The 15,504-nt window shown below is 36.8% G+C and overlaps 1 protein-coding gene across 4 annotated transcripts in view; it reads right to left on the bottom strand.

Annotated features, from left to right (window-relative positions):
- The window catches only part of RRP15 (ribosomal RNA processing 15 homolog), a 52,691-nt gene that overhangs the window by 21,851 nt on the left and 15,336 nt on the right, over positions 1-15,504 (bottom strand). For 2 of the 4 annotated variants that reach the window (XM_047421798.1, XM_047421797.1), the window contains exons 2-4: positions 13,574-13,848; positions 11,008-11,105; positions 8,501-8,702 (exon numbers count right to left, since the gene is read on the bottom strand). In XM_047421798.1, coding sequence (XP_047277754.1) covers positions 8,501-8,702; positions 11,008-11,105; positions 13,574-13,848 — 575 coding nt within the window. The remainder of the gene's footprint in view (positions 1-8,500; positions 8,703-11,007; positions 11,106-13,573; positions 13,849-15,504) is intronic. The other 2 variants (NM_016052.4, XM_011509597.4) reach the window with 1 other exon arrangement.

Below are 15,504 nucleotides of genomic sequence, written 5' to 3'. Positions count from 1 at the left end.
AAGTTCATTTTGATTAAAACTGTTGTTCAAATCAGAAACCACCCTACATGAAAACTAAATAGCATATTTTAAAAGACATAAATACAATGGGAAACTGGCTTAAAACCATTCCCATCAACAGTAATATGTATAATCCTGCTTGTTCTCATTTCAAACATGGAGTCTCACTTTTGCCTAAGCTCTATTTAGGCATTTTCAGTAAACAAACATTAAGCTGAATTATTTACAAAATTAGGATTCCACACATTCCTGTTAGAGAGCTTTACGTGAGAGTAAAACACTGTTGTCCTGCAATGCAGAGGCAATCTAAGGACAGCATCTTTCTCTACCTCCTTGCCTGCCTTCCACACCCCAACTTGATTTAAAAGCTAAATCCTGGCCAGGCACGGTGGCTCAAGCCTGTAATCCCAGCACTTTGGGAGGCCCAGGTCGGAGGATCACTTGAGGCCAGGAGTTCGAGGAGACCAGCCTGGCCAACATGGTAAAACCCCATCTCTACTAAAAATACAAAAAAAAAAAAATAAAATAATAAAAAAATAAAGCCAGGTGCGGTGGCATGCGCCTGTAATCTCAGCTACTCAAGAGGCTGGGGCATGAGAATTGCTTGAACCTGGGAGGCAGAGGTTGCAGTAAGCCAAGATCGTGACACTGCACTCCCACCTGGGCGACAGAGTGAGATCCTGCCTTAGAAAAACCAAAAGTAAATAATGAAAATAGCCAGAGGCCCACCAAGGGACCTGGGTGAGGAAGTCCTCCTTTCCTAGGCTTCTGTCTTTAGAAGCAAGAATTCAGCAGATCTAAGAACCAGAAGAAATGCACATTTTTAAAAGTACATAGCAATTTGGAGTCTGGGTCTAAGTTGTAAGATACCAAAGAAGCCAGGTATTTCAAAAGCATTCTCACCACTAATTATTTACCTATGAAGAAATTACAAGGTTGCCATTTATGACAAATAAATGAGAAATAGAGGAGTACCCTACCTTACCTCTATGTATGACATTTAAAGTGCTCATACCACAAAATCAGAAAAAATAAATACCTGGACTCTTCCAGTAACTCTTTTTCCTAGGGACTTCTATTAAAAATTATTGTCTAGCAATCACTAAGGAAATCACTTTCTTTCTTTTTTTTTTTTTTTTTTTGAGATGGAGCCTTTCTCTGTCACCAGGCTGGAGTGCAGTGGCGCAATCTCAGCACACTGCTACCTCCATCTCCCAGGTTCAAGCGATTCTCCTGCCTCAGCCTCCCAAGTAGCTGGGATTACAGGCCCCTACCACCACGCCTGGCTAATTTTTGTATTTTTTAGTAGAGACGGGGTTTCACCATGTTGGCCAGGATGGTTTCGATCTCCTGACCTTGTGATCAGCCTGCCTCGGCCTCCCAAAGTGCTGAGATTACAGATGTGAGCCACCATGTCCCGCCAAAAAATCATTTTCTAACAGAAACCAGCTAGCATTTTCCCTTACTATAAAATTATAATTTCAGTTTCATTATTAAAAAAAAACCTGAAATTGATATATTGGCAATTTCAAATAAATGAAAACCTTGTAGAAAGTCTGTAATTCAAGAGTACAAGTAAAGCCAATGCTTTCCTAAGAGCAGCCAATATATTCTCCTTAGAGACTCACAGATTTAACATCACATCCGCTTCTGTCGGCCTTTAGAGTAACAGAATTACATTCCAAGAAATCTGATTGAATTTTAGTTGGCTTTTCAAGAAAACATTAAAAGGAATAATTACAACTTTGAAAGCTAAGAAAAAAAATTAATGCCTCTACATTAATAAAATCTTGATTAACATACTGAGAAACAAATCACTCTAGATAAGAACATGTTTTGAATAGAGGAACAGAGGTATTAATCCTTTAAGAGTTAAAGCTTAATTTTTTTATAAAACTTTACTTAAAAAATATGTTTTTGTTGCTTCCTTAAACAGTGTTCTAAATACAATGTAATATTTTTAAAAATCACTCAGGGTCACCAGGCATGGTGGCTCATGCCTGTAATCCCAGCACTTTGGGAGGCCTAGGTGGGTGGATCACTTGAACCCAGGAGTTCGAGACCAGGCTGGGCAGCATAGCAAGATTCCATCTCTTTAAAAATAATAAAATAACAAAACATAAAATAAAATAAAATAAAATAAAATAAAATAAAATAAAAATCACTCGGGGTCAACATCAAGATATTGGTCAATATGCCTTGCCACATGTTGGTATGTAATTGGGATGATGCTTCCTGTATTTGATCGAAGAATTACAGCTTCTGGATTAGGGAATTCCTTCCAAATAACTGAAAATTAGTTATCTAAACCTAGAAGATATTACATTTATTCATGTGGAAAACTCTCTAAAATAGACTATTCATCTTCCCTGACTCAGTAAACAAGTTAATCATTCTTAAAGATTCAGGAACCCTACTAAGACATACAGGACTCATTAGTGCCTGCCCCAGGTGGCCTCACCATACTCTGCTATTCTGGTTGCCTCCTTGTTTCTGGCCATGCTATTTCCCGCACTAACCAAATGCTTCTGCCACACTGCTGCTGTTAACCTGATCTTTACTGTCATCCTTCTCATTTCTGATTATAACCTGGAGCAGTCACTGCCTCCAAAAATCTTTACCTCTCAGACATGTTCCATATTTTATATTCTCTATTTTGGTGAAAGCTGTCACCATTTCTGAGTCTCCCAAGTTGTAAACCTCTGAGTTATTAATAAATCCTCCCTCTCCCATATCCCTCTACATCATGTTAATCACAAATCAAGTCAATCTATACCTTAAAATTGCCTCTCCAATCTGATTCTTCTTTTCCCTTCACCCCAACCCAATTTACCCCACACAATCTTAGTTCACGTTCTCTCCCCTTGCTTTAATTATGGCAATTGTCTTCCACTAATTGGTCTTCTGACCATCCTTCAGCCCTTTCTTTTCCTTAAAAATAATGAAATCTTCACTAACTGAGCAACAGATTCAATCATTCCCCAAACTTCAGCACTGCACAATATTACTCTTGTAACAAACCTCTACATGTACCTCCTTAGTCTAAAATAAAAGCTGAAATAAATCAAAAGAGAAAGACAGAAAAATCAAATCTGACCAGATCACTTACCTTATGGCATTGGCCTCCAAATGCGTAAGGAATAAAGTCCAGATTCCTCAAGATAGGACACTTCAAATCTAATGCCAACCTACTTCCTCAGAATCCCTTTTTCTAACTCCCCACTCATTAGCAAACATCCTACATTCCAACTTCCATGGAAGAAAACAGGAAAGAAAACTATAAGGAATCTGAAAAATTACAGAACTGGCAGGCTTTTTCCCCCTTACCATGTTTACTTCATGCCATTTTAAAAATCAAAGCTAAGTTTCTTATATTCTTCTAAAGTACTTTCCTCCTGAGTCACATTTCCTATGACTATCCCCACATCACAATTTTTCCAACTTTACGATTTTCTAATTTCGTGAGCAATATATGTACCACCCAGAACAGCTACTAAAACAATTTGGCAAAGAAGGTTCCTCTTCTTGTTTCTAAATGAAATATGTGGTGATCTGATTCATTCCATAGAACCAAATCTCCACTGAATTTAACATTCAACATTTTACCCCAAAGTTCTATTTATTGGCTAAGAATCATTCTTTTTTTATGTCTTCTCACATCCACTAACAGTATCTTTTTTCATAGCCCTATCTCACAAAAATATAAATAAAATAAAATTAGTGACTACCAATTATTCACTACAAATGTTTTAAGAACGGGGATAGAGAAGGTCTTAAAAGGTTCCAAAAAGAAAAGAATCAAAACGAGCAGAGCAGCACTGAACCGCTCAATGGCTAAAAAAAAAAAAAAGAAAAAAGAAAGAAAGAAAAAATTTCTCTCAAACTTCTGAGAGAAAATTACTTTCCAACATGGACATCTATGTTCTATTAGTTTCCTGTGGCTGCCATAACAAATTGCTACAAACTAGGTAGCTGAAAACAATAGCAATTTACTCTCTCACAGTTGTGGAGGCCCGATGCCCATATCTGGCAAAGCCTCACTCCCTCTTGGGGCTTCAGGGGAGAACCCATCCCTTGCTGTCTCCTCCAGCTTCTGGTGTTTCTTGGCATTCTTTGACTTGCAGCCACATCACTCCCACCTATTCCTCCATGGTCACACTGCCTGCTCCGATTCTGTCTGTCAAATTTCTCCTATGTGTCTAAGAACACTTGTCACTGGTCTTAGGGCCTACCCGAATAATTCGAGATTACCTCCTTCATCTCAAGATCATTAATTTAACTGCATCTGCAAAAACCCTTTTCCAAATATTGGAAGCCATCTATCGGGCCAACATATCAATAAAAAATAAGGACACCTATACTCTCTCCCAGAAAGCTGAAAACTGTGCCATCACTAAAATGCAGGAGAAGGCCAAGAGAAAATAAGACGTTTAGTCCGAAAAAACAGAGGATACTGCATAGGAGAGAGGCGAGAGGCAAATGGAATTCCCAGGAAGGGGATAAAGCAATGTTGCAAAATGACAGTGCACAGCAGGTAAAGAACAACCAGTTTAGAGAGTAGCAGCAGGATGATCACAAGAAATATACTACTGAGAAGGGCTTAACAGTTCTTTTGAAGAGTATGGAAGGATTTTGGCATATACAAAACTAAAGGAAAAAAAAGGCAAGTGATAACTCCAGGAAAAATAAAAATTGTAACAAAGCTGAAGAAAGTAAGTATTATTATTGTATATTATTTTGCTCAGCAGTGAACAATATTCACATTGAATACTAGTATTCAATCTAGTGTAAGAAATTTTAATATACTATGTTGGAAGGACAGAATGTGGAGAGGTGTGAGGAAAACCAACTTTATCTTCCATGAAAGATAGTATCTAGTACTGATAAAGAAATAGTGTAAATATTATTTAAGATATGGAGGTAAATACCAGAAGAAAGTACTAAGAGTTGCCAAGGTATAGAGAAGAATGGAAAAGGGCAGTGGTTATTTTATTTAACCATAAATTCAGTTTTCATACTGTGCTCCTATTGCTTTGATAATAAAATTCTAATGCAGAAAAGACTCTAAGAAAAATGACTTGTTCGGCTGGGCATGGTGGGTCATGCCTGTAATCCCAGCACTTTGGGAGGCCGAGGCAGGCGGATCACCTGAGGTCAGGAGTTCGTGACCAGCCTGATCAACATGGTGAAACCCTGTCTCTACTAAAAATACAAAAATTAGCTGGGCATGGTGGTGCACGCCTGTAATCCCAGCTACTCGGGAGGCTGAGACAGGAGAATCGCTTGAACCCAGGAGGCGGAAGTTGCAATGAGCTGAGATTGCTCCACTGCACTCCTGCCTGGGCAACAGAGCAAGACTTTGTCTCAAAAAAAAAAGAAAGAAAGAAAAAGAAAAATGACTTGTTCGGGCCCTATCACAGTTAAAAAACATTTATCACAATGTCTGTTTCTTATACCTTGAAGAAATATGAAATTTCTATAACAATTATTTTTTAAAAAAGTTCTTTAAAATAAATTCCCAAGTCATGTGTACATTAGGAGAAAACAAAACCAAACACCAAAACCACTCCTAAAGTATGGTTAACTATAATGGGCTCAATGTATATAACCTATGTTATATTATTACAATTCTATCCATATTTAATATAAAACTCCTGCCTCTTTTGATTATTGAACATAAGACTTTAATGTCAAAACTGAATAACACATATAACTGGGAAAAAGAATTGAAGTCATTAAAATGAAGGTGTTTCCAAATTGGTATCCTGATAGATGGCTGCCAGTGAAATCTAGTTTATATGTGGGTGGCCTCCAATTTTAGAGACTTCACAATATTAGGAATATTGAATTTAAAAATCTGTGCTCTGAATATCATTACAGCCCAGGGAAGGGAAAACAATAAGATTTCTTTTGTTCCATTTTATGATGAGAGAAGGAACACCTATGAGGAAAGAGTACAATAGCTATGGTGCTAGGACAAGGTTAAATATAAGAAAAAATGGCAAATATTACTTTCTACTTTCTTAATCTCTTCCTTTATTTAGCTCATCAATGATTCATTTCTGAATAGCACTTTGGCACATCAAATCTATGCTCACCTTTGCCACCCTGCCTTCCCTTGATCTACCTTAAAAGTTCACCTATTTCAAGTAACATACATAGATATAATGATCTATGCTCTAAATAAATAGTACACCGTTACTCTGAAATTCCCTTCACACAGGGGTAGCCACTTAATGTACATCTTGTTAGAGCTGGTGTAACTAATGTTAACGTGTACTTGACATACTAATTTAGAATTTGCCTACTATCAAGTTAATCTTGCTTACTTATTTACTTGAAGTCATTTGTCCATCTTAATTGTAAGATTTTAAAGGACACAACAAGGATAACACCTGGTAGAAACAGGCACTTAATAAATATGTTTTTTTTTTTTTTTTTTTTTTTTTTGAGATGGAGTCTCTCTCTGTCACCCAGGCTGGAGTGCAGTGGCACAATCTCGGCTCACTGCACCCTCTGCCTCCCGGGTTCAAGAGATTCTCCCACCTCAGCCTCCTGATTAGCTGGGATTACAGGTGGGTGCCACCATGCCCAGTTAATTTTTGTATTTTTAGTAGAGACAGTGTTTCACCATGTTGGCCAGGCTGGTCTCGAACTCCTGACCTCGTGATCCGCCCACCTTGGCCTCCCAAAGTGCTGGGATTACAGGCATGAGCCACCGCATCCAGCCAAGAAATATGCTTTATATCAGTAACTGATCCAATCTCAAACAGTGTAGTACTTTCATAGTTATTCAGATGCAAACTCAAGCAAAATTTTTAAAAAGGAGTCTGTTTTTCCATAAATATGCAATCAACATGAAAACACACATTTTTAAAAGAAAGAAATATGTCAGGGTATTGATGGCATGGGGCAGGGTGTTCTAGAAACAAATTACTTTTAGAGCAAAATCACTTTGGCTTAAGTCTCAAGCAATTTTTGACCTTGTCCCAGACTTACAAATACTGTGATCACTGAAGTAGAAAAAAAGAAAGTCAAGGGCAAGTGCAAATGGTAAGAAAAAAATACAATGCCAGTGGAAAGAATCTGTTGTGTATTTTCATAACTCATGAAAGAAATAATCCCAAAGCAAAAGTATGTGCTTCTATAAAATGTTATTTTGAAACCAATAGGAAAAAGAAAAAAAACTAAGTCTCTTCATCTTCCCACTAGTTCTTTCCCATCCAATGTTGCTGAATCTTTCTCTAACTCTTACAGTAAAATGTTACTAGCGAGAATACAGCCTATTAAAGCCTTTGAACTAAAAAGTATAAATCCCCAAACACAGTGTTCATGTATTTACAAGTACTTCTGATAGACACTTTAAAATAGCAGCACTAGTGAGAACTATTATTATATAAAAATACAATTTGAGCCCTTTGATATTCAAGAAAGAGACAAGTAGATTCAAAAACTTTTGTCACTTAGGTAAAATATGAACTTAAGAAACTTTAAAAAATGCTCCAACCCTAGGCTAGCATAAAATTCCTAAATGCTCTTCTTGCTCGGGTTTCAATTATTTTCCCAAACAAAAAAATTTATGACAGAAATTCTCATTTCCTGACTGATTAAAAGTACCTTTGGTTTTGGCAACAGAAATCAAGCCATCAAAATATAACTACATATTTTGCTTTTTTAAAACGACAACAATAGAAACCCACCGCTTATAAAAGTAAAGCACATCTCAAAACCTTTCACCTGGTACATTAAAAAGAAATTACTGGCTGGGCTCGGTGGCTCACACCTGGAATCCCAGCACTTTGGAAGGCCGAGGCGAGTGGATCACCTGAGGTCAGAAGTTCAAGACCAGCCTGGTCAACATGGTGAAACCCCGTCTCTACTAAAAATACAAAAATTAGCCGGAGGTGATGGCATGTGCCTGTAAACCTGGCTACTCAGGAGGCTGAGGCAAGAGAATTGCTTGAACCTGGGAGGCGGAGGTTTCAGTGAGCCGAGATCGCGCCACTGCACTCCAGCCTGGGCCAGGGAGCAAGACTCCATCAAAAAAAAAAAAAAAAAAAAAAAAAAAAAGAAAGAAAGAAACTACTGAGGCAGCTGGAGAAGCAAAGTTCTCATGCCAAAGGTCATAGAAAGTATTTATGCTCTTAATCTCTCAACCAAACATCACTAAAGATGCCTCAATGCAAGAATGACTTTCTACCATTATTTCCTAAAACTCTCTGACTCTTCATATTTTGTAAGTTACACACCCTCTATGGGTAAAGTCTGAAATTAAAGCTGTGGCCCACACAGGCTTCTATTCTCCAAAATGTGCAAAATGGCAGGATTTCAGATAGGAGAGAGGCAAGCCCTATCTCTAAAGGTTGCGGGCATGGAGGAATTTTAATAAAATTTAGGAAAAAAACACAAAACTCTGTAATTCTATAGTCTGGTTTTCCATCTCAAGACTAGTTTTAGAGCTGAAAGTCTGATACACTGAATCCTATAGAAAAGTTTTTACCTGTTTGGCTTTTGGTTTCTTCCTGCTTGAAGCAGTCTCATTTGTACTTCCATCCATCCCTCTCAAAACACTGATGAAATCTTTCTTGGAAACAGTTGATATCAACTTAGCACGCTTTCTCATAGAACTTCCAGCTTCCTTAACCTTTTCATCAACATTCTTTTGATGTTTCTGAACAGCATTAAATAATTGCACCACACCCCTGTAGAATATAAAATGACCAGAATGATGTATTAAATAATTACCCTAGAATACAAACTCTGAGGATAGGAAAAATGTATTTTCACTGTCTAGAAAAGAGGCAAGCATTTAACAAGTACTCAAAGGAAAGAACGGGATAAGTGGTTAAATACATTTGATAAATACAACTGAAAAATGAATATACATTTCAATGAATGAATATAAATTTCTAAACAGATAACAAATGTGGATTGGTACATAACTTTGTGCTTCACTCCAAGAAAGATTTTTCTGGATCTCAATTTCATCTGTAAATTGGAAAAATAATGCCTCAGTAGCTTAAAAAGTATTTAGCTACGTTATCTGCAACTCTTGTGTTATGAAACCATTGTAAAATCCTACTTTAAAAAATACTTATTTTAAAAACTATGTTCTGTATTTATTTGAGTTCATTCAAAGATAAATTCTGAAAATTAAGACCTGCAGCATCCAATACAGGAGCCACAAGCCACATGTGGCTAGTGAGCACTTGAAATGTGACTGGTCTGAATTGCCATGTGCTGTAAATGAAAATACACCAGATTTCAAAGACTCAGTATGAAAAATAGAATCCTTAAATATCATTAATAACTGCTTCATACTGACCACATGATGAATATTTTGAATGCAGAGTTAAATAAAATATTATTGAAGTTAATTTCACCTCTTTCATTTTATATTTCTCATTGTGGCTATAAGAACATTTTAAATTACATATTAAATTACAAATGAATGTAGCTCACATTCATTTCTCCTGGATAGCGTTGATTTAGACTGTTAAGATCCCTTCCGGCTCTAAAATTCTGCAATCTATGAATTTTCTTGCTCTAATAAGAGGCAATCTGCCTCTTCCAATAATTATTGGGCCTTGAGCATCCCTGCATATGGTTGCTGGATTTTTCAAGAATGAATGCACCTGACTGCTCTTTATCCAGGCCATTTCTCAGGGTTGTGTTTGTAGGTAGTGACCTTGAGGGATGAGGTAACATCTCCCCCCGACAAAGAGCAGGCTTGTTACCAATCAGTATAAAAGTGATAGAATCCCAAGCACAGTGTTCCAGTTCTTGTAACACAACATATTGCACATGCGGGCATCCATCTAGGACACCTGCACTCCCTCTATGGGACAAAGGAAACAGTGGGAACATGAAGCTCTGCTACTGTTTTTGCCATGAATAATAAAGTCCTTTGTCTTTGATCCAAAGTGTCTTGTCTTCTATCAGCATCCAGGAAACTTTGACAGGCTAGCTTATGAGCTTATAAGGAGAGTAAAATTCCAGACCCTTCACAGTAGTGACAGGACCAGGGTGAGGAAAGGGAGGCGCCTAGGACATAAATTTTAAGGAGGCACTCACTCTCATGTACTGAGCCTGTACTTTTCTAAGTTCTGTATATGTATTAATCCATTTAATTATCAAAGAAACCCTATAGGCTAGGTATATTATCCTCTATTTACAGATAAACTGAGAGAAAAAGAAATCAAGTAGCATGCCCAGGGACACACTGCTAGTAAGAGCCAGTACTACGATTTGAACCGAGCACTGGCTCTATCACTCATGCCCTTATTCACCACACCACGCTATCGCACTGTGTAACACCGAGATGGATTAGAAAATGACCAAAATAATTTAGGTAACAAGAATTTAAAAGTAATTCTGCTAAATATAACTGCTAGGTTCTTTAGCAGCAGCCCAAATGTTATCTCCTCTGTAATGCCTTCTCAAACTCTCCCAGACAATCTCCTGTTCTATGTTCCCAACACATAGACATAATTCTACTCTCAAAGAGACTGTAATTCCTACAGATGACCAGGCAAGGACCACCTAGCAGCCACCATATCCTGTTTGTCTTTGGACACAGAGGGCATCAAGTAAACGTTTGGTGCCAATGAATAAATAAGCAGAGTAAAAAGATAGCATGAAATAGCTATAATGTGTAATGTATTATGCCATAAATATAATGCAAGATAAAAACCATCATTGAGTGCCACAAATTTAGACAAGCATCATAAGAGAAATGCAGTAAGAGGTCTGATTACACAGTTCTCGTGACTATAAAAACAAGATGATCTGAAATAGGTTCTTACCAAATATACACTTAGCACATTATATTCTTGCTTCACGAGACCTGGAAAATCTTTGGTTGAATTCAGTGTTGAACAGGCAGGCTTAGATATATATCACTTGGCTCTGAGAAGGCTGAGCTTAAGAATCAAATTGGGTCAAAAATAGAACCACTATGATAGCTTTAGTATACTTATTTTTTAAAGGGCAAAAACACTACCTTACCTTGTTGCAATTCTCTGAAGATTTCTCTCTGTCTCTTTGTCTTGGACAACATCTGGCTTTACTCTGCACATCATTTCCCACTCCAGCCTCTTATCACGCTGCGTTATAAATATTGTTATGTGAAAGAATATTAGATATTTCTGAAAGTGCAGCAAACATTGGTATGATACTCTGTGAAAGGGTGAAGGTAATAAATCATTCTGGCTTAGTTTGTCAGGGGCTTTTAAAAAAACACAATGTTAGGGGTTTAGCTTCGAGAGCCTGTGGTTAGCACTCAGCGTGTCATGCGAGAGGCACAAAGTGAGTTTCTGTCAGGCCCTCTGACAGCAGGGGCCTGGAGAGCTGCCAGCATATTCGGCCAGGCAGTACAAGATAGGGTGTGAGGGAGCCACATGCCTGCTCTGCCATCACCAGATCATCAGAGGGAAGCATAAGGAAGAATTCCAAACTACCCTCTTTGAAAATTATAAGTTTATCTTTACTTTCAGAAAATGACTTCCTCAGTCATCAGAATTACTATTAAGAAAATGTATCAGCTTTTAAAAGAACAGCATCGTATCCAGATACTTATACAATGACTATTTTTCTATGCAGAGAATCATTTAAATCCATTTCTCCTCTCGTAGCATATCTGACCAATAGTCTTGCCATATATGGTTTATCAGTTGTAAGCTACAGCAAACTGTACAGAAGCAGAAGGGGAGGTGGGAAATAAGAAAATTCCCTAGGTAACATAATTTAGTTTGAACTTGTCTTTAAATAGTATCCTGGTCCCAGGAATCTGATTTGATACATTGCATGTTCATGTCTCCTTCTCAGGCCAACATTTAACCAAATATCAAATATAATGATATAATGCATTAATCAATGAATGCTGGCAAGCATCAAAACCAGTAATAAAGACAACGTTTTTATTAAAATTTCTTTTTTTATCTATGCCTTTACTCTTCTATTTCTCATTTTGTATTAATGAAAGTGTCTAATCACAGTAAAACCAAATTCTTGCGCTCACTATAAAGATTAGCCTGATAGCTTTCTAAAGTAATAGATTATTCTCCTAACCAGACAATTCATTTTAGTGGTCATGAAATTCACTGTCAGATTATGACAGGAATTTTTTTTTAAAATCTTACTTTTAAGTTTGAAACAGTCAATTCTTAATTATATTCCGTACTCAAAGGATAATATGTATGCTTAATCCTGAAACATTCTTAACTCTGAAATTTGTTTTTGTATTTATGATTAGAAATAAGTAGCTGATATATTGGAAAACCATAATAGTTAAATTAGGAAATAATAATTTACATATTCTCTTCTAAGAAATACACACAAAGAGCATTTGTAGCTGCCATGTCTTGCTTCTGGTATCAATACATGTGCTTTCATGCATTATGGAGACAGTATCATCTCTAGCACTCAAAGCTTTGGCCTAGAGCAGAGTTACAGACTCATTCCTCTTGGCTTCAAAATGTTCTTACCCTCACTAGAACTCTGAGACCAGAGGAAATCAAAGATTCTGATATTTTTGAAGCCTCTTCTAGCATTTGCCAGATAATAAACAAAGATTCAAATTTTCAGTTGAAAAGCTATCCATAAGATTTAAAGACAAAACTTACCTTAAATAAAGTACAATAAGAATATTGAATTAATAATAGAGTATGCTGTGTTTCTAAGAGCAATACTTAAAAATTTCCACCTTTCACACAGAGCAACCAGTATTAAGAACAAAGAAAACATTCATCTTGAAACAAGAAAAGGAGATGGTAAACATAAAAGGAAATATATGTCAGTTCAAACCTATGTTTCTTTCATTTTTACCTATGAAGTGACTTTGGGAATTAGTACTTCTATGCTGCCAGTACATTTGTAGAAAGTTATTTTTCTTTAATTAAAAAACATGCTTAATTTAGTAACCAAGTATTTTAGACAGAGATCATCAAGTACAGGTGATATGAAAGCCTTATCATGGATTTTTAGCTTTTATAATAAACCACAAATTTATGTACAACTTTTGGCCTTTAATTAATAGATTATACCTAGTCTAACAACTATCATCAGTAGTTCAACAAAAGCATAATGAATTCAAATTTATCCAACACTGATTTGTATCTAACACTGAAATAATCCGTTTTCAGAACTACAACCAATCCTTGAGTTACGACATTGTCACAGATTCCTATTGTAAAATAAGTTTTGGCAAAAAAAAAAAGTAACTAACATGCTTCTTAGTTCACAACCTAATAAAGTCAGCAAACAGACAGCTAAAACAAATAAAATAGGCTCAGGAATCACTACCATGTGTATAATTACTTGATTTTAAAAAGATGTTTCCTCAGCGTTTACATTTCTATTACTTTGCCTTTGCATAGATGATTAAAAAGTGAACATGCTCAATGGAATAATTTAGACTAAATTCCTAAACATAACCTTAGTTATCCACCTTCACATAAAAAACAAGTTAAAAACTGGAACGTTAATTGGTCAAACACTGCAAGAAACAGTTCGGTCAAGATAAGAGCTAGCCTAGACAAACAATCTAATCTACAAGAGAACTGGTGGAACATACCTGTTTTATTTTCTCTAGTCTTTCTTGCTTTAACTTTTCTTTTTCCTTTTCCAGCTTCTTATTTTTGACCAGAATAGTAGGTTTACTTTCAGGAGTTTTCTTGTTGAGGACTTTAGCCATAGCATCTGCCCAGCCCATATTAGTCCCAACACTTGATTCTCCATCATTTTCATTTTCTTTGTCACAGGGCTCAGCATCACCCTCACTGTCAGCTTCTATTGCGTCATCATCAGAATAAAAGTGGTCCTTTTCCGATCCACAGCTTCCTATAGAACCAAAGAGTAAAGGCAAATTAAACTTTAATATCCTAGGCAGAGGCTGCCAAGGCCCCCCGAACCCTTCCTGGAGCTCTGCCTGTCCCCATTTTTGCAAGGGGGGTACTTTTCTGAGTCCCACAGCTACAGTAATGATGAAGAGCAATAGGACCATCTATCCCATTGCCATCAGCTCCCAGAGACCTCGCCCAGCCACATATACAGGGGATGTCACAGCAGCTTCCAAACCCAGGACCCAGGCAGCAGAAACAAATCCAACAGCCTCTGCCACGTCCTTATTGTCAAAATGGTGACAGATGTTGGCATGGAGTTGGTGCAAGGTATATTCAAGTACACAAACCTTAATTGTGTCACTAAACTAATGGAAGGGGCTAATGAAGGTTATTAAAACAAATAACAGAAAACTTTAATAAGAAAAAGGTACAGTATTATCAGAATAAATCTTCTAAGGGATTTGTCCCAGATATTTAAAATTCTGAATTTGTATGCAGAAAAAAAGCCTAAAACTAAAAATCAGCCTCATGTAAAAGAATTTGCATATAACATTAGAAAATTGGGCATTTTAACATTTTTGGAAAAAAAAATTATCTAACAACGTGCCCAAGATACTAGATTCAATTGTAGGACTGAGTGACTGAATGAAAATACCAAGTTCTGATTGAAGATACAAATGTGTAAGTGTACCATTGAATTTTATCATGAGAACCACCAAAAAAAGCACCTACAGGTTACCAGCAAACTAGTTCATCATTTAAAATTCAAATGGATGAGGAAGATTAGCAGAAACAATAGTCCAGAAGGCGGCTTGTCTTGCAAATCAACTTGCTGAGCAGCTCTTTTTCACCTTCTTAAATTAAGTGCACTTTAACAAGGAGAGCACAAGCACCCAGCATTGCATGCATGCATCTCTATGATCCAGAGCCCTCTGGAGAGCTTCTGTTCTTCAGAAACCTGCAGAACTTATTAGGAAATACTTGGAAGAAGACAATCATCCAATAGCTTAGTAACTTGGAGTGTTTTTTAATTAGCAGAAGAAGAGCTAACAAAGAAGGCTGAGAAGTCAACAAGAAAGAAAACTCAGTAATATACAAACAGCTGCCATTTAGCAGTGATGTCTTTGGGTAAACAACTGCACTTTCTTTGGATGACTCCAAAACTAGTTGAATCTCAAAAGATTATTACAGAAAATGCCATTAGCTGAAACTTTTCCTATCAAAGTACCTCTACAAATGTAACAATATTAGTAGTTTAAGTATTTTTTTAAATATTGATATACTTGCATTAAGATAAAATACTATTTAACACTAGAAGAAAAAGGCCAAGGCATAAGCAGGTTTCCTGCTGCTCCTTACTTTACTCAATTCTGTTCCACCCACCCGGATCAGAACCTTCACTTAAATGCAGAGGATTAGAAAGCAATCCATATGCCAAAAGCACTGCAGCATTTCAGTGAGGCTGCTCTGGGTCCATTTACCCTTACCAAAGCCAAGCATCAGAACCATAACCGCTGTTTCTACCTTCTGAGAAGTCTATTGATTGAGTCTTGTTGTTGCTTCAAAATTATCTATTCTTCAACTCCGAGGCTCAGTTTCTTCTTTAAATAATTTCAACAAAATGTTCATAATTTGCCTTTAAACATCCTCTTAGCCTTTTTAT

Source organism: Homo sapiens, chromosome 1 (genome assembly GCF_000001405.40).
Source record: "Homo sapiens chromosome 1, GRCh38.p14 Primary Assembly".
Classification (NCBI taxonomy): domain Eukaryota; kingdom Metazoa; phylum Chordata; class Mammalia; order Primates; family Hominidae; genus Homo; species Homo sapiens.
This window is presented reverse-complemented; position numbering and strand designations above follow the sequence as displayed.